The sequence below is a fragment of the Homo sapiens genome, chromosome 15 (genome assembly GCF_000001405.40).
Source record: "Homo sapiens chromosome 15, GRCh38.p14 Primary Assembly".
Classification (NCBI taxonomy): domain Eukaryota; kingdom Metazoa; phylum Chordata; class Mammalia; order Primates; family Hominidae; genus Homo; species Homo sapiens.
Window position 1 is genome coordinate 41820236 of NC_000015.10, and position 27909 is coordinate 41848144.

The following is a 27909-nucleotide window of genomic DNA, read 5'->3' on the forward strand; positions in this document are numbered from 1 at the left end:
TGATGATGCTGTGGTGTCTCTGGAGCACCCTGACCGGGCCAGGGGTCTCAGGCCTGGGCTATAGGTTTGTCCTTGGTGCTGTGAGGGGACTTTGGGGCCCCCAGCTATTGGAGTGATTGGGGTAGAGAGGCAAAAGGAGTGGTTGGGGTAGACAGGCAGAAGTGGCCTTTGCCCTGGGCTGGATTTCTTGGGGGACTCTTGGTAGTAAGTGGTTGCTGCTGGGGCTGTCCTCAGAGTAGGAGACTTTTAGAGACCCCCAGCTCTGAGGCATCCATGATACCAGGTGAAGGCTGAGACTAGGGGTTCCTGTGCCAGAGGATGCGGAATGCAGCTAAGAGCATGAACTCTGGAGCCAGACTAATCTGCAGGCCACTTACTGTCTGTGGGACGCAGACTGCTCACTTAAGCCCCCTGTGCTTCAGTCTCCTCATCTGTAAAACAAGGATTATACTAGTGCCCATTTCAAAAGGTTGCTGTGAGGATGAAGTAAGCTAGTATGTGTAGTGTGCCAGGCACATAGTAAGGGATATGTGGATATTTGTTGATCTTACTGTGTGGTTGTTGTTACTCCTCCCCCACCCCCTACCTCCCACCAGGCACAGGAGTCCGTGGGGTTCCTGGACCCAGCTCCTGCAGCCAACCCAGGACCCAGAAGAAGAGGGCGCTGGGTTCAGCCAGGTGTGGAACTGAGCGTTAGATCCATGCTGGATCTGCGGCAGCTGGAAACACTGGCCCCAAGCCTGCAGGACCCTAGCCAGGACTCGCTGGCCATCATCCCATCTGGTCCCAGGAAGCATGGGCAGGAGGCCCTTGAGACTTCACTCACTAGCCAGGTGAGCCTGCTTTCTCCCAGCTCTCTAGAGAGTTCCAAGGGGCCTTAGGCAGCCTTTGCCACCAGCTGGGACCTGAGCACTGGTCCAGCTATGCTTGCTCTGCCCCTGTGGCACATGGGTAACCTGAACTGCAAAGCCAGGATGGGGGTGGCTGGGCTGTATGGTTTGGTCATCAGGATAGGCAGGGGAGGGGTTGGGGTAGAGAGGCAAAAGTGGCCTTTGCCCTGGGCTGGGTTTCTTGGAGGACTCTTGGTATTAAGTGGTAGCTGGAGGTTGGCAGCCCAGAGTGCTAATATAGTTCATCCAGAAGCTCACATCAGCAACTGGAGCCCAGCCTGGCTTCTCGATGTCTGTCCTTCAGCTTCCCCTTGAATGAGTGCACACCGCATCCTTACTCACCTCCACCTCTTCTCCAAGGGGAGGGTTGGCCCCCAGGATACTCAGGGCTTACCCCCCAGCTACCACTGCCTCATCTGTCACCTCTGCTCTGTTAACATCCCTTTGTGTGTTCCCAGAATGAAAAGCCCCCTCGGCCTCAGGCTTCCCAACCTTGTTCCTATCCCCATATTATCCGATTATTGTCACAAGAGGAAGGGGTCTTTGCCCAAGATCTGGAACCTGCACCCATTGAAGATGGTATTGTCTACCCGGAGCCGAGTGACAACCCCACCATGGATACCAGGCAAGGATCCTGCCCTAGCCAGACCCCGTGCCCCCGTCTTCCCCTCCCTATGAGTGTTCTTTAGTCGAGGGAGGGTTGGCCCCCAGGATACTCAGGGCTTTCCTTCCAGCTCACCACTGCCTCATCCCTCACCCTGATCACAGGCAGGAGTCCAGCGGGGCTGCTGCCTACCCCTGCTCACTGCCTTTTCTTCTCCCTGCTGGAATCCTGACAGTGAGTTCCAAGTGCAGGCTCCAGCCCGGGGAACTCTGGGAAGAGTGTACCCAGGCAGCAGGAGCTCAGAAAAGCACAGCCCTGACAGTGCCTGCTCTGTGGATTACAGCAGCAGCTGCCTTTCCAGCCCGGAGCACCCCACTGAAGGTGAGGCTGTAGCCTGGAGGGAGGGGCCATGGGGGGTGGGGCCTGGAGGTGGGTGGGGAGGCTCTGGCAACAGATGGGTGCAGTGCGATGCCTCTCTCCCCTCCCCACACCCAGACTCTGAGAGCACGGAGCCCCTCAGTGTGGATGGCATCTCCTCAGACCTTGAAGAGCCAGCTGAGGGTGATGAAGAAGAGGAAGAAGAGGAGGGAGGCATGGGCCCCTATGGGCTACAGGAGGGCAGCCCCCAGACTCCAGACCAGGAGCAGTTTCTAAAACAGCACTTTGAGACTCTGGCCAGTGGAGCTGCTCCAGGTGTGGTCAGAGGGCCAGCATTTAGTGCCTGCAATTTGCCCTTCTCCCCTCCTTGCCTACCTGAGAGGAGGGTCCCAGGGTATAGGCTGTGGCTGGGGGTCTCAAGGAGGCAAAATCTGGGGCAAGGGCTTGGTTTTTGCCCCAATTCATGATTTCTCTGACCTTGGTAGGGGCCCCAGTGCAGGTCCCAGAGAGGTCAGAGTCTCGGAGTATCTCTTCACGATTCCTGTTGCAAGTACAGACCCGCCCACTCAGGTACAGAGGCCCCCTACCCCCCAGCAGCAGCTCTGGCTCTCCTCGCCTCCCAGGGCTGCTGCCCTCTCCTCTCCAGTGTTCTGTCTCTCCATGCGCGGGGTGTTTTGCACTCCCAGTTTTGGGCTAACTGGCCTTTCCCCAGCCCTATCTGGCTTTGTGCTTGTTCTCTCCTAGTGCCCTGGTGCTATGAGTTTCTCGCCATTTTGGCAGGGAGGAGCATTGAGCCTTCTCTGGGCCTTCTCCCACATGTTCTCCCTGTAGGGAACCATCCCCATCCTCCTCAAGCCTGGCACTGATGTCGAGACCAGCCCAGGTGCCACAGGCATCTGGTGAGCAGCCGAGAGGCAATGGTGCCAATCCCCCTGGAGCACCCCCGGAGGTGGAACCGTCCTCTGGCAACCCCAGCCCCCAGCAGGCAGCCTCTGTGCTGTTGCCACGATGCCGTCTCAACCCTGACAGCAGCTGGGCTCCCAAGAGAGTGGCCACAGCCAGCCCCTTTTCTGGACTCCAGAAGGCCCAGTCTGTGCACAGTCTGGTGCCACAGGGTGAGAAGCCTGATGGGTTCAGTGCCAGGGTGCAGGGTGTATGGAACACATGTACATGCTGGAGGAGGGAGGGCCTGGTGTGGCCCTGATGTGCCACTGTGCTGGCCACTAGGTGTCCCTTAATGGGCATGTGGAGGGGAACAGCAGCTCTTCGGGATTGGGTGTTGGCACCTGGGATGCCTTCCTCAACACCTGACCTGTGTATACCTCTGTCTCCTTTGCAGAAAGACATGAGGCCAGTCTGCAGGCCCCTTCACCAGGCGCACTGCTGTCTCGGGAGATCGAAGCTCAGGATGGTCTGGGCTCCCTGCCCCCAGCTGATGGCCGTCCGTCTCGGCCTCACTCCTATCAGAACCCCACCACCAGTTCCATGGCCAAGATATCCCGCAGTATCTCTGTTGGGGAGAACCTGGGCCTGGTGGCTGAACCTCAAGCTCATGCCCCCATCCGAGTCTCACCACTCAGCAAGCTGGCCCTGCCCAGCCGGGCTCACCTGGTCCTGGACATCCCCAAACCACTGCCTGACCGTCCTACCCTGGCTGCATTCTCTCCTGTCACCAAAGGCCGGGCCCCTGGCGAGGCAGAAAAGCCTGGCTTCCCGGTGGGCCTAGGAAAAGCTCACAGTACAACTGAGAGATGGGCCTGTTTGGGGGAGGGCACCACTCCCAAGCCTAGGACAGAGTGCCAGGCTCATCCTGGGCCCAGCAGCCCCTGTGCCCAGCAACTGCCAGTCAGCAGCCTCTTCCAAGGCCCTGAAAACTTGCAGCCCCCACCCCCTGAGAAGACTCCCAACCCCATGGAATGCACCAAGCCAGGGGCAGCCCTGAGCCAGGACTCAGGTGTGCACAGCTCCCCAGCTCTCATCTCCTGCCCCATCCTTACTCTCCCCTCTCTGTTGGCCGCTGTCTGGCTCCATCCCATTTCTGTGGGTACAGCTTCTGGTGTTTCTTGTCCTGTCTGCTCCTGTCGCAGGTCCGTAAGTCACACCCCTGATGGTGAGACCCTCCTGCTAACCTTCATGATTTCCTTGTGACTCACTTGCCCATTCAGTGGCTTCTGAACTTGGGGCTGGCCGTCTCCTCTGGACCTTGTTTGTGTGGTGTTGGGGAGGCCGTTGGAAGAGAAGCCAAGAGGAAGGGACTGAGGGCAAGTGGGGGGTGCAATGCTGAGGGCTAGGTCTCTCCTGTTCTGAGTGTCTTGGGTGCGGAGGCCTGAAAGGGCTACATGCTGGGCCTCACTGAGCTGTATCCGTCTCTTTCAGAGCCAGCGGTGAGCCTGGAGCAGTGTGAGCAGCTGGTGGCAGAGCTCCGCGGCAGCGTGCGCCAGGCAGTGCGGCTCTACCACTCGGTGGGTGTTAGGTGCCCCCCGGCAGGAAGGCGGGCACGTCAGTAGTGCTGGGTGTTTCGGATAACCATGTCCAGAACAGTATGCTAAGCCTCTTGTGCTGACAGGATGGCACACTCAAGAACATCTTGGGCAGCATAGGTGAGGGGGTTAGAGGCCAGGCTAGCCTCTTGTACCGGGCACCTGCGGTCATTTCTGGTTAAGAGCTGGAGACTTCCCTCAGGAGGTGAGGCCTGAAGAGACCACACCTCCTAGTTGGCTCAGGACAATCCCAGTTTATGTCGTTGTCCCAGTGTAATTATTAATGGCATCCTTTTTCATATCCATGAATTATTTGGCCCCCTTAGACATAGGGGACAGTCCAAGAAGGCCCAAACTTTGAAAGAGAAAGCAGATTCTGCCGGAGTTGTCATAAGGAGTTGCTTATAAGATGTAGACGGTTCTGCAATCCAATGGGTTCCTCCTTGGGCGTCACCCCCAGAGTCTGCCTGCATCCCATGTTCCCTGGCCATACATGCTGATCTTGGCGGGTAGAGTTCCCAGCTAGTCCCTTCTGAGGCAGGCTGGACCCAGGTGGGGCCCCTCCCTTTTATATGTCTGTTGACAGGCTCCTCCACCTCACTTCTGGGGGTGCTATTTCAGGTGGCTGGCTGCAAGATGCCCTCAGCAGAGCAAAGTCGGATTGCCCAGCTCCTCAGAGACACCTTCTCTTCAGTGCGACAGGAGCTGGAAGCTGTGGCTGGGGCAGTGCTGTCCAGCCCAGGCAGCAGCCCTGGGGCTGTGGGAGCCGAGCAGACACAGGCCCTGCTGGAGCAATACTCAGAACTGTTGCTTCGAGCCGTGGAACGGCGTATGGAACGCAAACTCTGAGTTCTGGAAGCCTGTCCCAAGTGAATGAATGCTCCAGCGATTCCAAACTGCAGCCCCTCTGCCCCTCACCAAAACCTGCGGGGCTGCTTGGAGTGGAAAGCAGGGAGCAGTGTTCAGAGGCAAAGCAGCCTTCCCAGCCGCTCCTCGTGGGGGGCCTGTATTTATTAATTTATTTCCCTGACTGTTGCCTCACTTCCTTGGAACTCCTGCCTCCACAGCCCCTCCAGTGGCAGGGACAGGTCTTGGGTCTTTGTCATCTTGGTGCTGTGAGAGGTAGGAGGGCAGCCTGCCCCATCTAGGAATCTGGGAAGGGCTGGCCCTCTCTTAGAAGCCATTTGAAATTACTGCAGGGATTAGCTCCCTGTGGTGGAGCATACACAGGGTACTCTGGGGTCGAGGTGAGAGGTGATGTGGTATTCAGTGCCCGTCAGCCAACTGTGGGCCTTCACCTCTACCTGCACTTCCCCTCTCACACCAGCTGCACTCCCGTGGCTGCCAGAGCAGGGTGGTTTTCCCCAATACCTGGAGCTCAGAAAGGCAGAGCCATCTGGCCCTCCAGGGTGTCCCCAGCCATCAGGAGACTTGAGTTGGTATTTGGACCTGAGCCCGCACATTCCACTCCCATTCTCCCTCCAAGAGGGGCCCAGCATTGTATTTCCCTGTGACCCCTTACTCTCCTGGCCAGAACTTGAGCCAGCTGTGGGATGTTGCTGCAGGACAGTAAGCCCTCACCTGGGCAAACATGAAGCTCTGGCCTCCTTTCCTCAGCCCCTTGTTCTTCCCTGTCCTCCACCCTGGACCCCAGCCGGCTGCTGGAGCCCAGAGGCCACCTTCTCCCTGCATCCTGAATGATGCTTAGTCAGAAGCCTGTGTTGGAACATCCCTCGTTTACGGGGCGCTGGCCTACCTCCTGAGGACCTCAGCCACAGATGAGATCACACGCATGCACGTGCACACATGTACACACACACACCTACCTGCACAGCACGCTGTTGAGTGTTGGTTGCTAGAGTATCTGGCTGGCTGCTGTGTGCCTGGTTTCCTCACATCCTGCCTCAGCTTCACCACCCTGGCTTATGTGGAACACCTATCAGGGAGCAGAAAAGGGGTGCAGTACACTAAGTGAACCCAGATTCTGGATTCTTGGTGTCCACAGCCTAGCTGATACGAGATAGCCCATAGGACACCTGGTTTAGGTAGAAGGAGCCTCCTCAAAGGCAGTGCTGGGCACCCACGGGTGTGCTGGATACTGGAGTTTGAGAGGAGGGAGGTGCTGGGGCCAAAGGAGACACTAGAAAAGTGGTAGATGGGACAGGTAAGTGGCAGAGGTGAGGGGATAAGTTAGAATGTAAAAGGGCAGTAATTAGGGGTGAGGGAAAGGAGATAGGGGACCCTAGGAGGTAGAGTGGGACCATGTCGTGAGGCAGTTGAAGAGTTGAGGAAAGGTTTTTCTGGGCCCTACTGCTCCCCTCTGCTGCAGGTAAGTCAGAGCAGCTTTACCACAGCTTCAGGCCACGAGAGCCCCTTCACCCGCCCTGCTGCGCCATAGGCAGAGGCTTATAAAGAAATGGGTTCTGGGCCAGGTGTGGTGGCTCAAGCCTGTAATCCCAGCACTTTGGGAGGCCGAGGCGGGTGGATCACCTGAGGTTAGGAGTTCGAGATCAGCCTGGCCAACATGGTGAAACCCTGTCTACTAAAAATAAAAAAATTAGCTGGGCGTGGTGGTGGGCGCCTGTAATCCCAGCTACTCGGGAGGTTTAGGCAGGAGAATCGCTTGAACCCTGGAGGTGGAGGTGGAGGTTGCAGTGAGCCGAGATCGCGCCATTGCACTCCAACCTAGGTGACAAAGCTACACGCCATCTCAAAAAAAAAAAAGAAAAAGGGTTACAAAAGGTTCCCAGCTCCGGGGCATCAGCCTGAGTGCGCTTGAGCTGCTCCAAACCTGGCCCTTCCCCACTCCTCTAGCATCGCCACCCGCATGGCCCTGGAACTCCCGCGGCGGCGGGGGCGGGCCCGTGCCTGCTGTGCCCCGACTTCCCACACCAGCCGCGCCCACCGCAGGTGGGACTCAGGTTCGCCCTCTGGGCCAGGTCCTTCACGAGGAGGGAGCTACCCTTCGCCAGAAGTTTGTGAGAATGTGGCCGCCCTTTTCCTGCCCTCTGCCCCATGTGGGTGGGGGGCCTCGTGGCCCGGCCGGCGCCCCGTCCCCTTCTGCATGTCTGAGGCCACCGGCAACCGCCGCCCCACTCCAGATTTGCCCCCGCCTTGTTTTGAAAGCCCCTTATTTATAACTTTTATACTTTGTGCAGGTCGCGGCGCTTCCTGCCTCATCCTCGGCTGCATGGGGCGGGGGCGCTGTTTTTAACGTGCCCGTTTGTACTGATGTATGAACTTGTCAATAAACACAATTGTTTGTTAACCCTGGGATGCCGGCCAGTGGGGCAGGCCGAAGCGGGCGCTGCCAGTCGCTCCACCGCTTCGGTGGCAGAACCCGGTGTGTGTCCAGGGGCAGGACGGGGCGGGGTGCTGGGGGTGTGGCCTGCGGCGGGTGCCTCTGGAAGGGCGGGGCGAGGGTCTGGGGGTGTGGCCTGCGGCGGGGACTCTGGGGAGGGCGGGGCGAGTGCTTGGGGTGTGGCCTGCGGCGGGGCGTCGGGGAAAGGCGGGGTCTCGGCCGGCGCTGACGCAGCCATGGCGGAGGCGGCTTTGGAAGCCGTGCGGAGCGAGTTACGAGAATTCCCGGCCGCTGCAAGGGGTGAGTGGCTCTCCCACAGGCTGCGGCGATTTCCGAACACGGGAGGGGCCCTGGGATGCCGCTGACACCGGGGGCTCGGAACCTCGTGTGTGCGACTGCCCTGAGGCCCCGCTCGGGTTGCTCTTCTGTGGCAACCTGCTTCCCTTCTCCCGTGTTCGCGCGCTCCCGCGGCTTCCTGGGTGATTCTGTTCACGTTGTTCCCAAGGCCCGGTGCCGTCTTGACCGTGGTCGCGGCGAAGCCCTGTGTTTCCTACAGTCTTGAGCAGCTTGCTGTTACCCTTGTTGAAAGCTCATCGAAGGCACACAGCTGGTGGTCGGATTCCTCCCCCACGCGCCCCACCTCCGACCTCAACTCCCTTGTCGCACTTTGGGAGGATTGCAGGCTGACCAAATGGTCCCTGGCTCTTCCCCTGCTTGGTTTTTATTCCTTTTCTTTCTTTCTCTCTTCCCTCCTTCCTTCTTTTTTCTATTTTTAAATGATTTCTTACCACTGAACAGCAACACAGGCTCATGTGTATGTGATGGGTATGTAATATACAGTGGTACGCAATGTAAATGAAGCAAGGTTTCCTCCCAGCCCCAGTTTGCATTCTTACAGAAAGATTGTTTATATCCGTGCACACACGACTTTTTACCCTTTTTTTGTACAAATAGTAGCCTGCTAAACACACTCTTCTGCACCGTGTATCTTGGAGATCATTTCACATTCCTCTACCTCAGTCTTTTTCACGTCTGTGTGCTAGTGCTGTATTCACTTAGTCATTTAGGTCATGTCCAATCCGTTGTTTTCAATAATGCTGCAACGAATACTTTGAGGATTGATTTAACAAATACTTATTCAGCATCTCTGTGTGCCAGGCTCTGTTCAGTGTGTTTGAGATACATCACTGAACAAAACAAATCTGTCTTTTACAGTCTATGTCCTGTTACATTCTAAGTGAGAACGTGGACAATCAACCACAGGTGTACTGAATGAGTACATTGTAGAGTAGAAGAAGTAGGTTAGAAGGTAAGTGCAGGCAAAGCCCTCTTTGGGAGTATGCCTGATGTGTTTAGGAAACAGTGAAGAAGCCAGTCTGCAGGAGCAGCGTCTTCTGCGCATGTGTGAGTATGTTTGTTGGTTAAATACTTTATATTTTTTGAGACAGGGTCTTACTCTGTCACACAGGCTGGAGTGCAGTGGCACGATCATAGCTCGCTGCACCTCGACCTCCCAGGTTCAAGAGATCCTCCTGCTTCAGCACCTGGGAGTAGCTGAGACTACAGGCATGCGCCACCACGCCTGGCTAATTTTTTTGAATTTTAGTAGAGACAAGGCTGGTCTCAGATTCCTCAAACAATCCTTCCACCTCAGCATTCCAAAGTTTTGGAACGCCATGGAACACATAAGCCACTGCTCCCGGCCTTGTTAAATTCTTAGCAGAGTTATGGGGTCAAAGCAATTGTTTGGATCCCTTTTGAAATTTTCTCACTTGGAAGCCCCAGGAGAGGAAAGCAGCCATTCTCTAAAGGAAATGGTGAGCAAGTAAAACAAATCCCTAATTGCAGAAGTCCAAAGGGTGAAAAAATGGCAGTTTCCATGTATTTTCAGAATCCCAGGCTGTGTGCAGTACTCACGCCTGTAATCCTAGCACTTCAGGAGACCAAGGTGGGAGGCATCTCTTGAGGCCAGGAGTTCAAGACCAGCGTGGGCAACATAGTGAGACACCATCGTGTGGTGGCATGTGCCTGTAGTCCCACCTCCTGAGGCAAGAGGATTGTTTGAGTCCAGCAGTTTTGATGACAGTGGCGGGCAGTTGGAAGCAGATGCTGTCATCATGCTGGCTGCAGTGGGGAGGCACAAGTCGGGCAGCAGAAGTGGCTCTGGGAGCAGCAGTGGTGGTAGTGAGTCCCCTGTTCCCTGCATCCCCGAGGCAGCCGACTGCACCACCCCCACCCTCACATGGCTGGGCAGGACCTGCTCCTCAGCCCAGACCCTCTGCTGCAGCCTGAACCTCGCTCCCTGCCACATCCCAGAAGCCTGCGAGCACCCTGCCAAAGGTGCAACTGGGACTTGTAGGGACTTGCACTTGTGAGTACAAAAATACTCACACATGTGCACAAAGACCCTGCTCCTGCAAACTGGCTTCTTCACTGTTTCCGGAACACAGGACTACTAGGCTCATTTGTTTGGGGTGGTCAGAGCTGCCATGCCATATGCACCTTGCCCGCCGCCGCTGTGGGGAAAACGTGAAGAGGAGAGGCAGCTGGGGCCACATGTTCCACAGAGCTGGCGGGAACTGGGGACAAGTGGGAGCCCCACCCCTTCCAAGTTGGTGGAGTGGGAGCTCCCTAGGCGCAATTACAGCCACCCAAGCCAGGACTGCAACTCAGGCACCCCTGTGCTCTTGGGAGCTAGGAGCAGGCAGGAGCCCCACCCTCCTAGATGCAGCTGCAGCCTCCCAAGCTGCAGCTGTGGACCCAGGCATGTCTGCACTTTTGGGGACCCAGGAAGGCCCCTTCCTGCTGCCGCAGGCTTGGAAGTGCCTGATCCTGCTGTCTGGCTTCTCCCCACTGTCAGCACCTGATCAGATCATGGAGCAAAGTTGAGGCCGAGCCTGGGTGCTATTGCAGTGCTGACACACCAGCCCCCTGCCTCCTTGGCCCCCTCTGGCCTTTGGGTGCCAACGAGCATGGGAGGGAGGCCAAGAGGGGCTGAGGGCAGCTCAGTGCTGGCCTGCAGGCACCCCCTTGGCACAAACAGCTTGGGTGCCGTGAATGGTGGCAAGAGGCAGACAGGTTCCTGGGTGGAAGGTGGCGGGTCCCGGTGAAGCCCGACCTTCAAGCCAGGGAAGGCCTGAAGCCTGGGGGCTGGGCTGCCGGTTCCATGGACCGGAATGGGAACTTTTGGTGCTTTTTCCGGCCCACCCATGGCTGCCCATGGACCAATAGGCATGTACCTCCTCCCCTGTGAGACCCATAAAAAGCCCCTGACTCAGCCAGACCAGAAGAGACGATGGGACGACCAGCTGCGGGGAGGAGCTACCCTCTCTGCTGAGAGCTGGAGAGATGACAGGACAACCTGCCCACAGAGAGGAGCTACTCTAGCCAGGGAAGCAAGCAGGCATGCCAGCTCTTTCTTTTCCAGTATTCCTGGGCCCAGTGGGGTCTTCTCACTCAGTTACAATATTTGATCTAAGAACATTCACTTTCCAACTGATCAGAAAGTAAAGGTGACTGGCATGGTGTGGCTGTGAGAGATGCAGTGTGACCTCAGAGGTGAACATCAGTGCCGGGACCATTTGGAGCAGGATGTGGTAACCACCAAATGGAAACCACGGCCTTTTGGCTCGACCTAGAGCATGAATGTAGCAAAGCGAAGCCCTGTACACTTTATAAAAACCAGCAGAAAGACACTCCAGTCTGAGTGAGCAGCTGGAACAAAGCTCTGCTGAGCTGAACACTCAACAGGACTACCTGCCTGCAGAGAGAGGAGCTATCCTCTTTGCTGAGAGCTGAACACTCGTTGGGACACCCTGGCTGCGGAGAGGAGCTGCCCACTGTGGGTCTCCTCTGAGCTATCCTATGGCTCAGTAAAGCTCCTCTTTGTCTTGTTTACCCTCTGCTTGTCTGTGTGTACCTCATTCTTCCTGGATGCAGGACAAGAATTGGGACCTGCTGAGTGGCGGGGCTAAAAGAGCTGTAACATGAAGAGGACTGAACCATGCGTCTTGCTCGCCACATTGTGGGTGTCCAGAAGGAAAGAAGAACTGCGGCCCTTTGGGGAGTCCAGACCCAGGAGCTTCCCAAGCTGGGGTTCTGACACCCTCTTTAGGGCTCTGCGGTTCCTGGTATCTGCAAGCTTCCAGGCACCACCATGCTTCCCAGTGTCAGCTGTGGAAGCTGCTTATGGTACACCTGGTCTAGCTGCAGCCTTGCAGGAAACCAGCACCTGTGTTGGCACCTGAAGCTGCCTGCCCCACCGCAGCCCACATGCCTAGCTGTGCGCAGTGGCCAAACCCCACACTCATTCGCTCACACACCCCTCGCTGCCCCACTCGCCCTTGGCAGGTGTGGGATCCAGGCCGGTAGCATGAGCTGAGCACAGCCTGCAGGGCCGAGTGGGCCCAATGGGCCCGAGCAAAACAGGCAAAGGCATCACTGGCCACAGAGGTTTCCAGCTGGTAAAGCAACACCCCAAAGATCCCGTGACAGTTTATGGCTGCGGTGAGCTATTATTGCGTCACTGCACTTCAGCCTGGGCAACAGAGCAAGACTCTGTCTCTTAATCTCAGCGAGTACAACAGGAAGATGTACTGAGCCCCAGACCACCCCATCTCTCAAGGTGACTGCTTGGATGGGCTGGCGTGACTGGGAAGGCCTTTGCCACTTTGCTGTCTCCTGGATTCCATATCTACTGGATGGGTGCCATCTTGCCTCTAGCCAGGGAAGCAAGCAGGCACACCAACTCTTTCCTTTCCAGTATTCCTGGGCCCAGTGGGGTCTTCTCACTCAGTTACAATATTTGATCTAAGAACATTCACTTTCCAACTGATCAGAAAGTAAAGGTGACTGGCATGGTGTTGCTGTGAGAGGTGCAGCGTAACCTCAGAGGTGAACATCAGTGCTGGGACCATTTGGAGCAGCATGTGGTAACCACCAAATGGGAACCACGGCCTTCTGGCTCGACCTAGAGCATGAATGTAGCAAAGCGAAGCCCTGTACACTTTATAAAAACCAGTAGAAAGACACTCCAGTCTGAGTGAGCAGCTGGAACAAAGGTACCACCTGAATAGAGGGTGTGTGGCAAGGGCAGGCACGAGACAGGAAATCAGACTGGAAGAGTAGGTTGGGCCTGGTCATGCGTGCCAAGGCAGGCAGCATTCTCTAAGGAGCAGTGGTAAGCCATCAAGGCATTTGTTACTAGGGGTGTGACAATATGAGATTGTATTTTCAGAAGATGACTGGGGCTATGATGATGAATGCTTTGGGTGGGAGTGGAATTAAGCCAGAGAAACCAGCTAGTTCACTACTGCAACCATCCAGCCAGGATACTGGAGACTTTTATTCAACATTAGGCAAATACTTGCTGAGCACATGCTATGTGCTAGGTACTGTTCTAGGTCCCAGGGGTGCATCAGTGAACAGACAACTGTCTCTGCCCTTGTGGAGTTCACATTCTAGCAAGGGTGAAAGAATGATAAACAGTTTATGTAGGTGAAATACATATATATATATATATATATATTTTTTTTTTTTTTTTTTTTTTTTGAGATAAAGTCTTGCTCTGTCACCCAGGCTGGAGTGCAGTGGCACGATGATAGCTCATTGCAGCCTCTACCTCTTGGACTCAAGTGATCCTCTGGCTTCAGCCTCTAGCGTAGCTAGGAGTATAGGTGCATGCCACCATGTCCAGTTAATTTTTAATTTTTTTGTAGAGATGGGGTCTCCCTACGTTGCCAAGGCTGGTCTTGACCTCCCGGCCTCAGCAATCCTCCTGCCTCTGCCTCCCAAAGTGCTGGGATTACAGACATGAGCCACCACGTCTAGCCCTAAAATATATAGCATGTCAGATGGTGATGAATGCTAACGAGAAAAAATACGGAAAGGGATATAAAGATTTGCAGCAGGGGGACAGATTATAAATTTAGAAAGTATAGTCAGAGAAGGAAGTCTTATCAATGTGATATTTGAGTGAGGACCCAAAGGAGGTAGCTGGAATGTGGATGCCAGTGGAGGAGAGGAGACGGTGGGTTTGAGAGACATAGGAGACAGAATCAACAGGACTCAGAGCCAATCAGTAGGATGACGGGAGTGAAGGAGAAAGCTGAGTCAAAAAGATTTTGATTAGAGGTGACACAGGGCCACTGTAGACCCCTGCGCAGGCGGCACACCACGCAGCCTGCCGAAGTGTACGTGGTGGCCCTGGGTGTCTGGAGATGGTGATGCTGTTCAGCAGGACCCAAACCATAGCCGAGCCCTTCCTTTTCCTCCATTGGTGTCATCTGGTAGTTTGTCTTCCCGGGTAAGAAGGTTGTAAATTTCTTAAGATGATGATTGTGTCATCCCTGATAGCCCCAGATTAGCCAAGCCAAGTGCTGAGCACATTCCTGGTGCTCAGTAAATGTCACTGTTAAAGGGGGCTTCCCAGAGCCACACAACACCCAGAATAGCCCGTGGCCATGGGGCCTCAGCCTTACTCATTCTGGAGCTCCCAATGCCACTTCCATGGTGGCCTTTCCTGGTAGATGCTAGGAGGCTGGCCTCTCCAGGGTGGGAAGGCATAGGGTCCACTGTGCAGACACAGCCCCACAGGGGATTTGGCTTATGGGCTGGGTAGCAGCCTCTGGCCCTGTGGACGGTCAGGGCCCATGCTGGTGTGTGTGCGTGATGCTTTCTGCTTTCATTTTTCCGTCCTCATCTTTCTATTACTGGTTGTCCAGGGTCCTTTGGTCACCAACGAGCATTTCCCAGTGACACAGCGCGGCCTTTCCAGGGAGGGCATCTCTTGGGCAGGGACTGGGTGCTGCAGACATCAGCCCTTCCATCCCCTGTCTTCTTCTTTCTCTCAGAGCTCTGCGTGCCTCTTGCTGTGCCCTACCTGGACAAACCCCCAACTCCGCTCCACTTCTACCGGGACTGGGTCTGCCCCAACAGGCCGTGCATTATCCGCAACGCTCTGCAGCACTGGCCGGCCCTCCAGAAGTGGTCCCTCCCCTATTTCAGGTGGGAGCTGCCCTGGGGTCAGGTGTGAGCAGTGATTACTGGCATCTGGGCATGGGCTGAGTGTCCATTCCTCTAGAGCCACAGTGGGCTCCACAGAGGTGAGTGTGGCCGTGACCCCAGATGGTTACGCGGATGCCGTGAGAGGGGATCGCTTCATGATGCCAGCTGAGCGCCGCCTGCCCCTGAGCTTCGTGCTGGATGTGCTGGAGGGCCGGGCCCAGCACCCTGGAGTCCTCTATGTGCAGAAGCAGTGCTCCAACCTGCCCAGCGAGCTGCCCCAGCTGCTGCCTGATCTGGAATCCCATGTGCCCTGGGCCTCCGAAGCCCTGGGTGAGTGGAGGTGGGGTGGTCGTGGCCCTGGACAGGGAAGATATGGGAAGGAGGGGGGTCAGCCTGTTTGCCCTTAGGTGATGACCTGGCCTATGGGCTTGGTCCTGTCAGCATCTGGTGCAGCTCACTAAATACATTCCCAGGCCTTGACTTAATCATAGATGAATTGCCAAAGATTGTTGTCCTTCCTTCTGCCCCAGGGAGGGAGGACCCCTTCCCCAAGATTTCCCAACCTCTGCCTCTTCTCCCTGACCCCTTTCTTGGGATTCTTCTGTGCTCACCCAGGTTTTGGCTCTGGCATCACTGGATGGCAGCTTTCCCCAGCCTGGCCTTCCTAACTTGCTCTCTGCCTTCTGCCCTGCAGGAAAGATGCCCGATGCTGTGAACTTCTGGCTGGGGGAGGCGGCTGCAGTGACTTCTTGTAGGTGTAAGGGGAATACAAAGGTGGGGAAGGAGCAGGTTGGGGCAGAGGGAGGGAAGACGAGGCCAGGAGTGGAGGGATGGCCCTGGGTGGAGGTTGGGCTGTTCTCTAAGATTTCTTTTGGCTTCTAGGACTCGGGCACCACAGAGGGTTTCCCCTGACAGCTGAGGTCGGGGAATGGACCCATGGCATTGGGGGCGGGTGCATTGTTTCTTCTAGACCCAAAGAAACCTCCCTGAAGGCCCGCTGGGCCAGGGGGTAAGTGTAGGAGAACTTCCCCTCTTGTTGAAGAGGAGTCCAGGGCCTGGTGAGCATCAGGTCCCTGGTAGGCAGAGTTCCAGAATGCCCATCAGAGCCCCTGGCATCTCCAGCCCACTGGCTCTGTGCGTGCTTCTCTTTTGTCATAGGACGTCTTGGGGTGCAGGGCTCTCAGCATGATGGTTTGCCTCCTCCCGTGCCCCTGCCCTCCATACCCTGCCCCCGGGCCTTCTTTCTGTTGGCAGTGCACAAGGACCACTATGAGAACCTCTACTGCGTGGTCTCAGGAGAGAAGCATTTCCTGTTCCATCCGCCCAGCGACCGGCCCTTCATCCCCTATGGTAGGGGATGTGGCCTGCAGGGAGGGGCTGGGGAACAGCTGGCCCAAGGGGGAGGGAGGCAGCAAGAGCCTGGGAGGCCAGTTCCCAGGCCTGAGGTGTGGCTGTGGCATCCCCAGTGCACCAGGGCCCCTGATCCCCTTGCCCCTGCCCAGGGCTGGCTGGGGTGGAGGAGGGTCTGGCAAGTTCCAGGCTGTTTGCAATTCCCCCACACCCTTCTCCCTTGGGCTCCAGAGCTGTACACGCCGGCAACCTACCAGCTAACTGAAGAGGGCACCTTTAAGGTGGTGGATGAAGAGGCCATGGAGAAGGTGTCTGTCCTGTTCTTGGGCTCTAGGGAGGGAGAAGGGCAGAAGCCTGGCTCTGAAGAACAGGCACAAAAGATCTGGGGAGGTGGCACCTTGCTCTGAAAAGTCTCTAAGTCTGAGGCCTTTCACTGCTGAGCCAAGCAGGGCCTGTGGTGTTGACCTTTGGAAGGGACAGAGCCTGAAGTCCTGGGGGGTCTGGGGGGCTGCTCCCTGGCATCTGATGTGTTCCCAGGTGCCCTGGATCCCACTGGACCCCTTGGCGCCAGACCTAGCACGGTACCCTAGTTACAGTCAGGCCCAGGCCCTTCGCTGCACGGTGCGGGCCGGTGAGATGCTCTATCTGCCGGCTCTGTGGTTCCACCACGTCCAGCAGTCCCAGGGCTGCATCGCAGGTGAAGAGTTGCCCAGGCCGCCTGGGGAGAGGCCCTGTCAAGGTCCAGCAGGGCCTCTGGGGGGAGGCTTGGGAGGCTCTAGGTCAGAAGAGGGATCTTCATGCTCAGATCCCCGTTCTTCCCACAGTGAATTTCTGGTATGACATGGAATACGACCTCAAGTATAGTTACTTCCAGCTGCTCGACTCCCTCACCAAGGCTTCAGGCCTTGACTGATGGAGCACTGGTGAACACCACCAAGCACGCCTCGGGGGACGGAGCCAGCCCCTCCCTGGCCAGGTCAATTCTCGAGAGAGCCTGGAGTGTGCATGCTGGCTGCTGGCCCCGGGTCCAGCATGGCTTGAGATCAGCTTTGGAGGATCTTGGAATGTGGTCATAAGGACTCAAGGTGCCAGGCAGGTCTGGGTGAGGGTTCTCAGGAAGTTGCCACACAGGTGAGCAGAGTGGGGATCAGGTGCAGCGGCACCTCTCCCCAGCGCTGTGATGTTGGGCGAGTCACTGCGTCTCGGGCATTGGTGTCCTGTCAGTAAAGAGATAATAATGGCTGTACCTCGCGGGGCTGTTGTGGGCTTGGAGATGATGTCTATGAGGACCAGCATGGAGCTGGCACACAGGACATGTTGAATAAAAGGTAGCTGTGAGTCGTATGTCCTTTTTTTTTTTTTTTTAAGATGGGGTCTCGCTCTGTCACCCAGGCTGGAGTGCAGTGGTGTGATGTCAGCTCACTGCAAGCTCCGCCTCCCAGGTTCACACTATTCTGCCTCAGCCTCCCAAGTAGCTGGGACTACAGGTGCGTGCCACCATGCCCGGCTAATTTTTTTGTATTTTTAGTAGAGACGGGGTTTCACCGTGTTAGCCAGTATGGTCTTGATCTCCTGACCTCGTGATCCACCTGCCTCGGCCTCCCAAAAGTGCTGGGATTACAGGTGTGAGCTGCTGCGCCTGGCTTATGAGTCGTATGTTCTGATCCTCCCTCTTGAAGTTGCCTTCTGTGGTCTAAGGAGGGCCTGAAGGTTCAGGTAAAAACTTCAGGGTGACCTTCACTGGGGGTGAGGGCTGGATCCCAGCCTGGGCCCAAAGAGCCGTCAGCTGCCCAAGTCCCGCTGTCCATGAGAGTCACCGCAGCCCCTCCCTGGGACAAGCAAGCAGACCTGAGTCTTGTAGCTCTCTGGTCCGGACCTCTTTGCCCAGGACCTTGAGAGCTATTCCTAGCTCTCCTATGGTTACTGTCCTCCCCCAGTTCAGGGGCAGCAGGTGGGACCTGGTGCCCTGGGGATAACCCCTGTTTCTCCCATAACAGGCACAGGCAGGAAGGGACGGAAGCCCCCGCCTCTCCTGGGGCTGTCCCTCTGAGGAAAGAGTTGGTCTCCACACGCTGACCCCCCCACAAACCATGCCCTGGAGGCAGAAGAACCCCCTGCCCCTGAGTGCCAACCCACAGGCCTCATCCCTGGCCACTCAGCACCTAGCTTTGAAGGGCTGTTTTATGTGACAGCCACTCCCCTGCCTGTCGTGAGGGGGCCCGGGTGTTCATCTCAGATTGATGGATCCCTGCCATCAAGACTGGGCATTCCTGTCCAACAGGTGCCAGAGTTGCGAAAGGCCTGTGACAGGGAACTCCACTCTTCCCTTGGCTGCTGTTCTGGGACTCACCCCTGCTTTCCTTCTGCTCAGCCCCTGGCAGCAAGCTCTCCAGGCTGGGATTGCAGGGCTGGGTGGGGCAGGCCCAGCTGGTAAAGGCTGGCGAGTGCCACAGAGGTATCAGGAGCTCTAGTATAGGCTTAGGGTGCCTCATTTCCTGGACAGGTGGCTGGTTCAGGAGTGGGTGTGGAGCTTAGGTGGAGCAGAGGCGGCGGGTAGGAGGGACTTGGGACCAATTGGGACATCACATCCCTGGCTCTGGGTTAGAAAGCTGACAGTCCTTGATCCTGTGGCCACTGCCCCATCATTCCTGCTCCTGAGGACTCAGTCTCATGGCTGTGGTAAGGCCTGGCAGGGCCCTGGGTCCCTACTGGGACCCCTGGTCTCTACCTGGGGCCTAGTTAATATGTTTCTTATGGGAGCTGTGGTCTTCTCCAGGGGTAGGGAGGGGAGTTTATTGACCACAAGACCAGGGTAGCGGGCAGAAGCCAGGGGAGGAGGAGGCTTGGGGATGAGGGATCCGTCCTGAGTGTTTTCTGTCCTGGGAACGGGCTCCTGGCAGAGCTCCCTGGCACCACAGATTTGGGCCCTGGAGACTCAGAGGCTCCCAGCTGCCGCCCTGAGGCCCTGGAAGCAAGTGGCTCCTCCATGCTCCTCTGACTCAGTTGCCTGGAGTGTGAGGGCCCTGGGCTGACCCTGGTGGATGAGGCCCTCCAGCACTGCCCTGGACCTGGTTGCTCCCTGGACTTGACCTGTTAGGGTCCTTGTGGAGGCAGGTGGAAGGCCGAAAGGAAGCAGTTGGCACAGGCTTCCCTGGTCCCGGTGCGCCTGCCAGGCTGCATTCCCAGAACCAGGGGCATGGGTTTGGAGGGAGCTACCGGGGGACCATCTTCAGCCTGACCTGGCAGGACCTGGAGGACATGACAGCCTGTGAGGGGTCTGAGCTAGGAGCCGCCTCCCCTGCCCAGGAGAGAGCCCATTTCCAGGATGCTCTTCTGACCAGGGTGGAGGGAGGGTACGAGAGCAGCTCAGCCTGGGGCCCAAGGCCCTGATGTGCTACTTCCCCTCCCTCGATAGCTTATGTCCCCTGCCACCCAAGACCAGCCGGAAAGCTGCTTAGCTGGGGTGTGGGCTGGGGATGTGGGGTGGAGAGCCTAAAGGATACTAGCCCGAGAAGGTGGAAGCAGGTCTGTGTGAGGCATAAATCTGGAGCCAGCCTGCCCGGGCTCCAACCCCAATTGTGGACCTCAGGCAAGTGACTGCTTCTCTGTGCCTCAGTTTCCTTGTGGAGTGGGCCATCGTAAATAGTATCTGTGCATAAGGTGGTTGTGCGATAAATGAGTTAATGTATGCAAAGCCCTTGGCCCAGAGCCGGCGCAGAGCATTGTGTAAGTGCTGGCAGGCGTCATGATGGAGATATCATGTCTCCTCTTGTTGATTCAGGATTCTGATGAGATGGAGGATGGGCCTGGGGTTCAGGATTAGGCCTTGAGGCACTGCTCCAGCCTCCTTTGTGGCCCCTGTCACCCTTGGCTTCATCGGCCCGTAGCAGGTCTCCCCTCTCCCACCTCTGCAGGCAGAGGTGTCCAGGACCTGCCTGCTCACGGTTCGTGTCCTGCAGGCCCATCGCCTACCCTCTAAGGACCTAGGTGAGTGCGCACCGCCCTGGCCCCTGTGCTGGGCTGAGGGAGGAGGAGGGTGCTGAGGAGGAGGGTGCTGTGGCTGGATTTGGTGGAGGCGGGTGGGCCGGTGGGCAGGGCCTAGAGGAGGGAGCTGAGAGGAGCTTCTGGGTGGAAGGTGGCAGCTGGGGCTCTGCCTCTGGCCCCCACTTCCCCTCCCCCTCAGTCTTAACCCACATGGGGCTCTAGGTGATGGAAGGAAGTGGGTCTGGGCGGCTGGGAAGGGCTCTTGTCCACCGCTGGGCACTTGTTCCTTCCCGCAGTGACCCCCTCTGACTGCTACGTGACTCTCTGGCTGCCCACGGCCTGCAGCCACAGGCTCCAGACACGCACGGTCAAGAACAGCAGTAGCCCTGTCTGGAACCAGAGCTTTCACTTCAGGATCCACAGGCAGCTCAAGGTGGGCCAGGCATCAGCGCTGACTCTACCCACATCCTCGCCAGCCACTGCCGCTGCCCTGCTCACCTTTCTGTCCCCTCCCTCCTGCAGCCCTGTCACTCTTTTCCCCTCCAGAATGTCATGGAACTGAAAGTCTTTGACCAGGACCTGGTGACCGGAGATGACCCTGTGTTGTCAGTACTGTTTGATGCGGGGACTCTGCGGGCTGGGGAGTTCCGGCGCGAGAGCTTCTCACTGAGCCCTCAGGCAAGGCGGTGTTTCCACGGCAGCCCTAGCTGGTGTCTGGGTTGAAATCTCCACGCGCACACATGCACACACACGCATGTCTCTCATACTCACTGACATATGTGCACTCCTTCTGACCCTTTCTAACTTACTTCTGGCTCTCTTCCCAGGGTGAGGGGCGCCTGGAAGTTGAATTTCGCCTGCAGAGTCTGTGAGTCAGGGGCCTGGGGCAGTTTGGGTGGGAGTGCCTTGTGGGAAGGACAGCACTAGTGCCTGGGGGATGCCCAGGTCTCTGTGGGGTGGGAACCTGGACTCCTGCTAAGGGGGCTCTGGGGGCTCTTTCCAGGGCTGACCGTGGCGAGTGGCTCGTCAGCAATGGCGTTCTGGTGGTGAGTGTGCCAGTGCTCTGGGAGGCGGTCTGGGGTCCCCGGGACTCCCTCATGCCAGCGACTTGAGGTACAGGCCCACCGCTGCCTCAGCCTGGGGACCCTGGGATTTCAGTTTGTTAAGGGAATACAATCTCAAGGGCCCAGGTAATGAAGTGCAGACCAGCAGCAGCCAGGGTGCTGCGAGGGTGGGGTCCCTGAATGGGGGGTGGGGTTAGTGTCTGAGGGGCTGTCTTCATGACTCAGGCCCGGGAGCTCTCCTGCTTGCACGTTCAACTGGAGGAGACAGGAGACCAGAAGTGTGAGTCCCCAACCCACTGGGACAGCCCCTGGCTCTCAGCTCTTGTCTTCCCCCTTTAAGCATTGGACAATTCTCCTTGGGGCCTGAGCTTTCCCCTTAGGCCTTCTCGGGGGACTGTGGTGGGGGATCCATCTCCACCAGACCATTTCAGCGGGGAGAGGGAGGTGCCCTCCAGGCCACGCAGCAAGATGGGTTCTGTGGGCAGAGATACCGTCCCCAGCCTCTCTGCTCTGGTTCCTGTTTCCAGCCTCAGAGCACAGAGTTCAGCTTGTGGTTCCTGGGTCCTGTGAGGGTCCGCAGGAGGCCTCTGTGGGCACTGGCACCTTCCGCTTCCACTGCCCAGCCTGCTGGGAGCAGGAGCTGAGTATTCGCCTGCAGGTAGTGTGCCTCGCTCCCTCGAGGTGGGGCCCCCAGAACTTCCTCCCTCCCTCTGCACCTCCTCCCAGTCTGACCTCTGCTCCACCTGGCAGAGTGGGCACCCTGGCAGCATGTGTGGGCCCATGCTGGCCTCCCCTTCCCGTCCCTCCCATAACTCTATGGCTGCCGGCGGGAGTTTGGTGAGGTCTTTGCTAGGAGTGGAAGCGTAAAGATTCTTAGGTCTGCATTCTTTGTCCCCTGCAGGATGCCCCCGAGGAGCAACTAAAGGCGCCACTGAGTGCCCTGCCCTCTGGTCAAGTGGTGAGGCTTGTCTTCCCCACGTCCCAGGTACTGGCCTCCCAGGGAAGGAAGCAAGGCGCCTGGATGGGGCTGGGACCCAGGCCACAAAGGGAGGGGCCTGCTTCCCGCTTCTCCGTGGGTCACACCCTGAGCAGGTGCTGGGGCCAGGCTCTTTGGGGAGTGTCCTCTGAGCATCCCTGCTTCAGGCCTGGCGCCTGTGGAGACGGTGGCGGGGCGGGGGTGGTGCGCCGGGGATCAGGGTAAGAGGACCAGAGCTGGGTGGAGGTGGCCGACCTTTTGTGACTGGGGCCTTCACGGTTTTCAGGAGCCCCTGATGAGAGTGGAGCTGAAAAAAGAAGCAGGGTGAGAGGCCTGGCTGGGGACTGGGCAAGGCCCTGGAAAACAACCAGGGTGCGGGGCTGGAGGAGGCCTGGAGGAGTGAGGGGGAGAAACAGCCGCCCCTCATCCTCATGCTCTCTGAAGGGGCTCAGGCTTGCGCTCGAGGGGGCACGAAGTACTGGGAGGAGTACTGGGAGGAGTCTTAGCACCTATGGTCAGAGGGGCGAGTGACCGGCCCAGTGCCAGGCACCCGGGGAGCACTTGATAAATGTTTGGCTGGAAAACGCAGGGAGGCAAGGATGGAAAATGGTAACATGGTTTGGGGCGCAGAGAGGGCAGGAAAACCAAGGGAGAGAAGAGGGGAAATTGCGCCCTTTTGGGTGGAAGCTGTTATGGCTGGACCTTAAATGATCTTCGTAGAGTTGTCGCCCACCCTGGCCCTCTGTCTTGAGAGAGTGGCTTCTCACCTCACAGACACAGGATTATTGGTCCTTTTCTGCCCCGCCCCCTGCCCTTTTTTTTTTTTTTTTTGAGATGGAGTCTCTCTCTGTCGCCCAGGCTGGAGTGCAATGGCGTGATCTTGGCTCACTGCAACCTCCGCCTCTGGGGTTCAAGCGATTCTCCTGCCTCAGCCTCCCGAGTAGCTGGGATTACAGGTGCCCACCACCACACCCAACTAATTTTTGTATTTTTAGTGGAGATGGGGTTTCCCCACATTGGCCAGGCTGGTCCTGGCCTCAAGTTATATGCCTGCCTCAGCCTCCCAAAGTGCTTTGAACTCCGTGGGTAAGGGACAGAACACGAGACTTGGAGGGGGGGGATCTATGGTATGGGGCCTGCCTGGGGGCCTGTCTGCACCTGGGACCCCAAGCAGCCTCTTTCGGCCACGGCATTCTGGGTCCTGCCAGTCTGCTTTGCTGCATTCCCAAGCATGTCCACATGGACACACTCTCCCCAGGTGTCAAACTTCAGTCTTGTGACACGGGAGTGGCATTGAGGGTTGGGGAGAAGAGGGAGGGCAGTAGGTATTACAGGTGAGGCAGACCCAGCTTTCCATTCTCTGGGGAGGGTTGAGAGCTGTCTCACAGTCTCTTCCTTCCCCGGCCAGACTGAGGGAGCTGGCCGTGCGACTGGGCTTCGGGCCCTGTGCAGAGGAGCAGGCCTTCCTGAGCAGGAGGAAGCAGGTGGTGGCCGCGGCCTTGAGGCAGGCCCTGCAGCTGGACGGAGACCTGCAGGAGGATGAGGTTTGGGGGCTGGGCTGGATGGGGTGTCCCCGGGCTTGCTTGGGCCTAGCTCCTGGTGCTGAACACTGGAGCTGCTTGTCCCCGATCTAGACCAGAGCTCGTAGCTGCCTGTCCCCACCCTGCTTCCTCTCACCTGGTGTTAGCAGGGACTTGGTACAGGCAGAGTGTTGCTTGAGGCACCTGGAGCCCACATGGGAGCTACCTCATAGGGCTGGCTTTCCTACTCTGTTTCTTGGTTCTCAGCCTAGCCTGTCTGAGGAGGGAGACAGATATCTGGTATGAGGCCTGTTGGCCCAGGGTGCTTCAGGAGGTTCATATTAGCCTGGGCCGTCTCCTGGGGGAGTGATGGCAATTTGGGAAAATTCTGAGGCGGGCCCTGGGGCTTCCAGAAAGTGAGCGTCAGGCTCGGGGGCTGAGGGCAAGGAGATGAGGCTCAGAACTTGCCTGGGCCATTTTTTCCTGGAGCCCTTAGGACTGGAGGAGCTGGGCACTCAAAAGGCTGTTTCTGGCCCCCAGGGCTGACTGAGAACTGGTCCCAAGACCTGTGATCAGGCCTTAGCTGTGGGCTGGGTGGCCACTTGACCTGCTACCTCTTCTTCCTGTGACTTGGCCTTCCCCATCCCTAGGGCCTCTACAGGCCTGGCTCTCTTCTTTTCCAGATCCCAGTGGTAGCTATTATGGCCACTGGTGGTGGGATCCGGGCAATGACTTCCCTGTATGGGCAGCTGGCTGGCCTGAAGGAGCTGGGCCTCTTGGATTGCGTCTCCTACATCACCGGGGCCTCGGGCTCCACCTGGTGAGCTGGGGGCAGGCTGATGCTGGACCCTGTGTGGCAGGGGGTGCTGGTGCCAGGGTTCTCCTAGGCCTCTGAGAAAACTAGAAGGGCTGGGAGAATGAATGTGCCAGGGAGAAACGTGCTCAAGGGGACCCTGGGAAGGTCCCTGCCAGGCCATTGTCCTAGAAAGCCCGGGGCACGTGGGGTCTAGACGGGGTCCTTCAGTGACAGCCCTCTGGCTTTGGCTTTGGCTTTTCCCAGGGCCTTGGCCAACCTTTATGAGGACCCAGAGTGGTCTCAGAAGGACCTGGCAGGGCCCACTGAGTTGCTGAAGACCCAGGTGACCAAGAACAAGCTGGGTGTGCTGGCCCCCAGCCAGCTGCAGCGGTACCGGCAGGAGCTGGCCGAGCGTGCCCGCTTGGGCTACCCAAGCTGCTTCACCAACCTGTGGGCCCTCATCAACGAGGCGCTGCTGCATGATGAGGTGCGGGGGCTGCGGCCTGGGGGCAGAGCCAGGGCAAGGGCTGGAGCTGGGGCTCGGTGCTGGACAGCAGGGTGGGAAAGGCCCTGGGCACCCAGGCCGCTGTGGGTTTAGGTTCTACGCATCTTTCCCCAGCCCCATGATCACAAGCTCTCAGATCAACGGGAGGCCCTGAGTCATGGCCAGAACCCTCTGCCCATCTACTGTGCCCTCAACACCAAAGGGCAGAGCCTGACCACTTTTGAATTTGGGGGTGAGTGGCCCAAGAGCTGAGACCTGTGCCCTTGCAGTTGGTGGAATAAGGGGAGAACGAGGACTGTGTGCAGATTGCAGATGTCACACCCACCTCTCCTGAGCCAGGTCCCGTGCTTTCTGGAGACCGGCACCCTACCAGGGTCCCTCAGCCCTTTGGGAAGGAGGCAGGGGCCTTAGGTCCTATGCACGAAGCCCAGGCCACAAGGCCTGGGCCTCCTGGTCCTCAGCTGCCCTAAAGCAAAACCCTGGGTCGGGGTGGGGGTGTGGGTGCCTAAGGGCTCTGCACCATGAGGCTGAGGCGTGGACTCCTCACAGAGTGGTGCGAGTTCTCTCCCTACGAGGTCGGCTTCCCCAAGTACGGGGCCTTCATCCCCTCTGAGCTCTTTGGCTCCGAGTTCTTTATGGGGCAGCTGATGAAGAGGCTTCCTGAGTCCCGCATCTGCTTCTTAGAAGGTGAGGGGCACTGGCAGGCTGGGGAAGCTGGGCCGAGCAGGGAAAATGGGTCCTGGGTGAGAGGGCAGCCTCGGTCAGAAGAGTTTCCTGGGCCAGGACTGGCCATGGGGAAGGGTAGGATTGGGACAAGAGTCGGGGGCCCTCTTCCCTCACGGCCGCTCTTTCAGGTATCTGGAGCAACCTGTATGCAGCCAACCTCCAGGACAGCTTATACTGGGCCTCAGAGCCCAGCCAGTTCTGGGACCGCTGGGTCAGGAACCAGGCCAACCTGGGTAAGTGCTCCGGGCCCTTCATAAGGGTGCCAAGGGGCAGCCAGCTGGGGCTGCACCAGGGGGCGGGGGGTTCACACCTCTTCCCCCTCCAGGGTCACCACCAAGGTGGGGATAAAGGTGCAGGAGTCCCCATTTCCCCCACCTTGCCTGTGTAGACAAGGAGCAGGTCCCCCTTCTGAAGATAGAAGAACCACCCTCAACAGCCGGCAGGATAGCTGAGTTTTTCACCGATCTTCTGACGTGGCGTCCACTGGCCCAGGCCACACATAATTTCCTGCGTGGCCTCCATTTCCACAAAGACTACTTTCAGCATCCTCACTTCTCCACATGGAAAGGTACCTGCTTCTCTCCAAAGTCCTCCTGTGGCCACCTGAGCCTTGAGTCCCCAGTCCAGATACCCCTCACAGTCCACTCCCATTCTCCTGCTTTGAGCTTGATTCCCTGGACTACTTGGAACAGGGGTCTTTTTCTCCTTGTCTTGGGGACCCAGGGCCCACCTGCAGGGCTGTGGGGGTGTTGGTTCAGCAGGAGAGCAGGGACCAGAGGCCAGAGTCTCTCCTTCCAGCAGGAATCTGGTACCCTTGGTATCTGTGACAATTGCTGCTCTCCCCAACCTTCCAGCTACCACTCTGGATGGGCTCCCCAACCAGCTGACACCCTCGGAGCCCCACCTGTGCCTGCTGGATGTTGGCTACCTCATCAATACCAGCTGCCTGCCCCTCCTGCAGCCCACTCGGGACGTGGACCTCATCCTGTCATTGGACTACAACCTCCACGGAGCCTTCCAGGTTGGGAAGGGTGGGCAGCCCACCAGGGAGGCGGTGGGTGGCCCCTGTCCCCTGAAGAGAGGGGCTTTGGAGTCCAGTGTCTGGTTCAGCTTCCTTTAGGAGCTGTGATTGGGACACTGGAATCTTAATTTGCCACCAGAGGAGCTCATTCTTTTCCGGAAGTTGGGAGGCTGGCGAGGTTCTCCTGGTATCTTGTAGCTGGGTCCCCTTTACTGACCTGCGAGGTGTGGTCCTGGGCCTCTGGGCCCACCTGCTGAGTCTGCTTTGGCTCCCAGTGTCAGAACTGGAATGCTGGGAGTAACCCGGCTCCGTCTAGCCCCAGAGGAGCTGCCACCGAGGCCTGTCAGGTGTGGAGAGTTTTTTTCCAACGACTGGCTTCATAGGCCCCACTGGAGACCGTTTTGGCATTTGAGCCCCAGGTCCTGTGCATCTTACGTCAGCCCCAGTGTTGAGGATGCCAGGGGCCCTGTCCCTCTGAAGCCCCTTCTGCCTGCCCTGCAGCAGTTGCAGCTCCTGGGCCGGTTCTGCCAGGAGCAGGGGATCCCGTTCCCACCCATCTCGCCCAGCCCCGAAGAGCAGCTCCAGCCTCGGGAGTGCCACACCTTCTCCGACCCCACCTGCCCCGGAGCCCCTGCGGTGCTGCACTTTCCTCTGGTCAGCGACTCCTTCCGGGAGTACTCGGCCCCTGGTGAGCTGCTGTTCACCTCCCCATCCTGCTGCCCCAGTCCCCCACACCTCCTCCGTCCCCTGTGCCTCTCCAAACCTGTCTTCCCCACAACGTGTTCCCCATGCCAGGCTGCACTCTCTCCACAGGGGTCCGGCGGACACCCGAGGAGGCGGCAGCTGGGGAGGTGAACCTGTCTTCATCGGACTCTCCCTACCACTACACGAAGGTGACCTACAGCCAGGAGGACGTGGACAAGCTGCTGCACCTGACACATTACAATGTCTGCAACAACCAGGAGCAGCTGCTGGAGGCTCTGCGCCAGGCAGTGCAGCGGAGGCGGCAGCGCAGGCCCCACTGATGGCCGGGGCCCCTGCCACCCCTAACTCTCATTCATTCCCTGGCTGCTGAGTTGCAGGTGGGAACTGTCATCACGCAGTGCTTCAGAGCCTCGGGCTCAGGTGGCACGGTCCCAGGGTCCAGGCTGAGGGCTGGGAGCTCCCTTGCGCCTCAGCAGTTTGCAGTGGGGTAAGGAGGCCAAGCCCATTTGTGTAATCACCCAAAACCCCCCGGCCTGTGCCTGTTTTCCCTTCTGCGCTACCTTGAGTAGTTGGAGCACTTGATACATCACAGACTCATACAAAT

General features: G+C 57.9%; 4 protein-coding genes across 9 annotated transcripts in view, besides 4 other annotated features; all 4 read left to right on the forward strand.

The window, feature by feature from the left end:
- The window catches only part of MAPKBP1 (mitogen-activated protein kinase binding protein 1), a 53372-nt gene extending 45752 nt beyond the window's left edge, over positions 1-7620 (forward strand). For 4 of the 5 annotated variants that reach the window (NR_049761.2, NR_049762.2, NM_001128608.2 and 1 more), the window contains 9 exons: positions 597-833; positions 1349-1515; positions 1730-1875; positions 1990-2187; positions 2358-2442; positions 2704-2987; positions 3212-3826; positions 4249-4334; positions 4974-7620. Coding sequence is in view for 3 of the 5 variants with exons in the window: in NM_001128608.2 (NP_001122080.1) it covers positions 597-833; positions 1349-1515; positions 1730-1875; positions 1990-2187; positions 2358-2442; positions 2704-2987; positions 3212-3826; positions 4249-4334; positions 4974-5201 (2046 nt within the window). In the remaining 2 variants the exon portion in view is untranslated. The remainder of the gene's footprint in view (positions 1-596; positions 834-1348; positions 1516-1729; positions 1876-1989; positions 2188-2357; positions 2443-2703; positions 2988-3211; positions 3827-4248; positions 4335-4973) is intronic. The other variant, NM_001265611.2, reaches the window with a different exon arrangement.
- Positions 5527-6409: an enhancer, noted in NCBI's record as "H3K4me1 hESC enhancer chr15:42117960-42118842 (GRCh37/hg19 assembly coordinates)". NCBI's record gives its function as "activates a minimal SCP1, AML or CMV promoter by ChIP-STARR-seq in naive H9 embryonic stem cells {active_cell/tissue: H9 hESC(naive)}" and the evidence as "EXISTENCE:reporter gene assay evidence [ECO:0000049][PMID:30033119]".
- Positions 7455-7684: an enhancer, noted in NCBI's record as "active region_9286". NCBI's record gives its function as "activates an Ori minimal core promoter by ATAC-STARR-seq in GM12878 lymphoblastoid cells {active_cell/tissue: GM12878}" and the evidence as "EXISTENCE:reporter gene assay evidence [ECO:0000049][PMID:35858748]".
- Positions 7716-8010: an enhancer, noted in NCBI's record as "tiled region #5929; HepG2 Activating DNase unmatched - State 1:Tss, and K562 Activating DNase unmatched - State 1:Tss". NCBI's record gives its function as "activates a minimal TATA promoter and a strong SV40 promoter by Sharpr-MPRA in HepG2 and K562 cells {active_cell/tissue: HepG2 | K562}" and the evidence as "EXISTENCE:reporter gene assay evidence [ECO:0000049][PMID:27701403]".
- Positions 7745-7834: a silencer, noted in NCBI's record as "silent region_6368". NCBI's record gives its function as "represses an Ori minimal core promoter by ATAC-STARR-seq in GM12878 lymphoblastoid cells {active_cell/tissue: GM12878}" and the evidence as "EXISTENCE:reporter gene assay evidence [ECO:0000049][PMID:35858748]".
- On the forward strand, positions 7857-17346 carry JMJD7 (jumonji domain containing 7). Its single transcript, NM_001114632.2, has 8 exons — positions 7857-7953; positions 14505-14658; positions 14735-14988; positions 15353-15409; positions 15913-16008; positions 16240-16316; positions 16546-16705; positions 16833-17346. The coding sequence occupies exons 1-8, from the start codon at positions 7890-7892 to the stop codon at positions 16919-16921; spliced, it is 951 nt and encodes a 316-aa protein (NP_001108104.1). The 5' UTR covers positions 7857-7889; the 3' UTR covers positions 16922-17346.
- On the forward strand, positions 7857-27908 carry JMJD7-PLA2G4B (JMJD7-PLA2G4B readthrough). Of its 2 annotated transcripts, NM_005090.4 has the most exons (25): positions 7857-7953; positions 14505-14658; positions 14735-14988; positions 15353-15409; positions 15913-16008; positions 16240-16316; positions 19923-19995; positions 20289-20425; positions 20539-20670; positions 20820-20860; positions 20996-21038; positions 21282-21336; positions 21584-21714; positions 21958-22041; positions 22319-22356; positions 23441-23576; positions 24236-24372; positions 24613-24835; positions 24968-25085; positions 25403-25540; positions 25708-25812; positions 25968-26147; positions 26434-26600; positions 27102-27288; positions 27414-27908. In NM_005090.4, exons 1-25 carry the CDS (start codon positions 7890-7892, stop codon positions 27623-27625), a joined length of 3039 nt encoding a protein of 1012 aa, NP_005081.1. In that variant the 5' UTR covers positions 7857-7889; the 3' UTR covers positions 27626-27908. The 2 variants fall into 2 exon arrangements, with proteins under 2 accessions (NP_005081.1, NP_001185517.1); NM_001198588.2 differs by lacking the exon at positions 27102-27288.
- Positions 18612-27908, forward strand: PLA2G4B (phospholipase A2 group IVB). Its single transcript, NM_001114633.2, has 20 exons — positions 18612-18687; positions 19923-19995; positions 20289-20425; positions 20539-20670; positions 20820-20860; positions 20996-21038; positions 21282-21336; positions 21584-21714; positions 21958-22041; positions 22319-22356; positions 23441-23576; positions 24236-24372; positions 24613-24835; positions 24968-25085; positions 25403-25540; positions 25708-25812; positions 25968-26147; positions 26434-26600; positions 27102-27288; positions 27414-27908. Exons 1-20 carry the CDS (start codon positions 18679-18681, stop codon positions 27623-27625), a joined length of 2346 nt encoding a protein of 781 aa, NP_001108105.1. The 5' UTR covers positions 18612-18678; the 3' UTR covers positions 27626-27908.

What these genes read in the sequence shown, in the direction of transcription:
- JMJD7 (NM_001114632.2), top strand. Translation starts at nt 7,890, where the DNA reads ATGGCGGAGGCGGCTTTGGAAGCCGTGCGGAGCGAGTTACGAGAATTC. An exon ending in TGGTCCCTCCCCTATTTCAG is followed by an intron (nt 14,659 to 14,734) that starts GTGGGAGCTGCC and finishes CCATTCCTCTAG; the next exon opens with AGCCACAGTGGGCTCCACAG. An exon ending in ATGAAGAGGCCATGGAGAAG is followed by an intron (nt 16,317 to 16,545) that starts GTGTCTGTCCTG and finishes ATGTGTTCCCAG; the next exon opens with GTGCCCTGGATCCCACTGGA.
- JMJD7-PLA2G4B (NM_005090.4), top strand. Translation starts at nt 7,890, where the DNA reads ATGGCGGAGGCGGCTTTGGAAGCCGTGCGGAGCGAGTTACGAGAATTC. An exon ending in GCTTCTCACTGAGCCCTCAG is followed by an intron (nt 20,671 to 20,819) that starts GCAAGGCGGTGT and finishes CTCTCTTCCCAG; the next exon opens with GGTGAGGGGCGCCTGGAAGT. An exon ending in GACCACTTTTGAATTTGGGG is followed by an intron (nt 25,086 to 25,402) that starts GTGAGTGGCCCA and finishes GACTCCTCACAG; the next exon opens with AGTGGTGCGAGTTCTCTCCC.
- PLA2G4B (NM_001114633.2), top strand. An exon ending in GGATCCACAGGCAGCTCAAG is followed by an intron (nt 20,426 to 20,538) that starts GTGGGCCAGGCA and finishes TTTCCCCTCCAG; the next exon opens with AATGTCATGGAACTGAAAGT. An exon ending in GGGGCCTCGGGCTCCACCTG is followed by an intron (nt 24,373 to 24,612) that starts GTGAGCTGGGGG and finishes GGCTTTTCCCAG; the next exon opens with GGCCTTGGCCAACCTTTATG.